The sequence below is a fragment of the Homo sapiens genome, chromosome 13, assembly GCF_000001405.40.
Source record: "Homo sapiens chromosome 13, GRCh38.p14 Primary Assembly".
Taxonomy (NCBI): domain Eukaryota; kingdom Metazoa; phylum Chordata; class Mammalia; order Primates; family Hominidae; genus Homo; species Homo sapiens.
Genome location: NC_000013.11, coordinates 17,416,925 through 17,417,264, shown reverse-complemented (window position 1 = coordinate 17,417,264; position 340 = coordinate 17,416,925). Strand labels below are relative to the sequence as shown.

At 40.0% G+C, this 340-nt stretch overlaps 1 annotated feature.

Annotated features, from left to right (window-relative positions):
* Nucleotides 1–340: part of a centromere (Linear centromere model derived predominantly from reads generated in PMID: 17803354. This region does not represent an actual centromere sequence, as long-range ordering of repeats and unmapped WGS contigs is not provided by the model. For details of model production, see http://arxiv.org/abs/1307.0035.) that runs on past both edges of the window.

Genomic DNA, 340 nt, shown 5'->3' with positions numbered 1-340 from the left:
TCTGTCTAGTTTTGAAACGAAGATATTTCCTTTTCTGCCTTTGGCCTCAAAGCGCTTGAAATCTCCACTTGCAAATTCCACAAAAAGAGTGTTTCAAATCTGCTCTGTGTAAATGAAAGTTCAACTCTGTGAGTTGAACACACACAACACAAGGAAGTTACTGGGAATTCTTCTGTCTAGCCTTACAGGAAAAAAACCCGTTTCCAACGAAGGCCTCTAAGTGGTCAAAATATCCACGTGCAGACTTTACAAACAGAGTGTTTCCAAACTGCTGAATGAAAAGAAAAGTTAAACTCTGAGAGTTGAACGCACACATCGCAGAGCAGTTTCTGAGAATGAT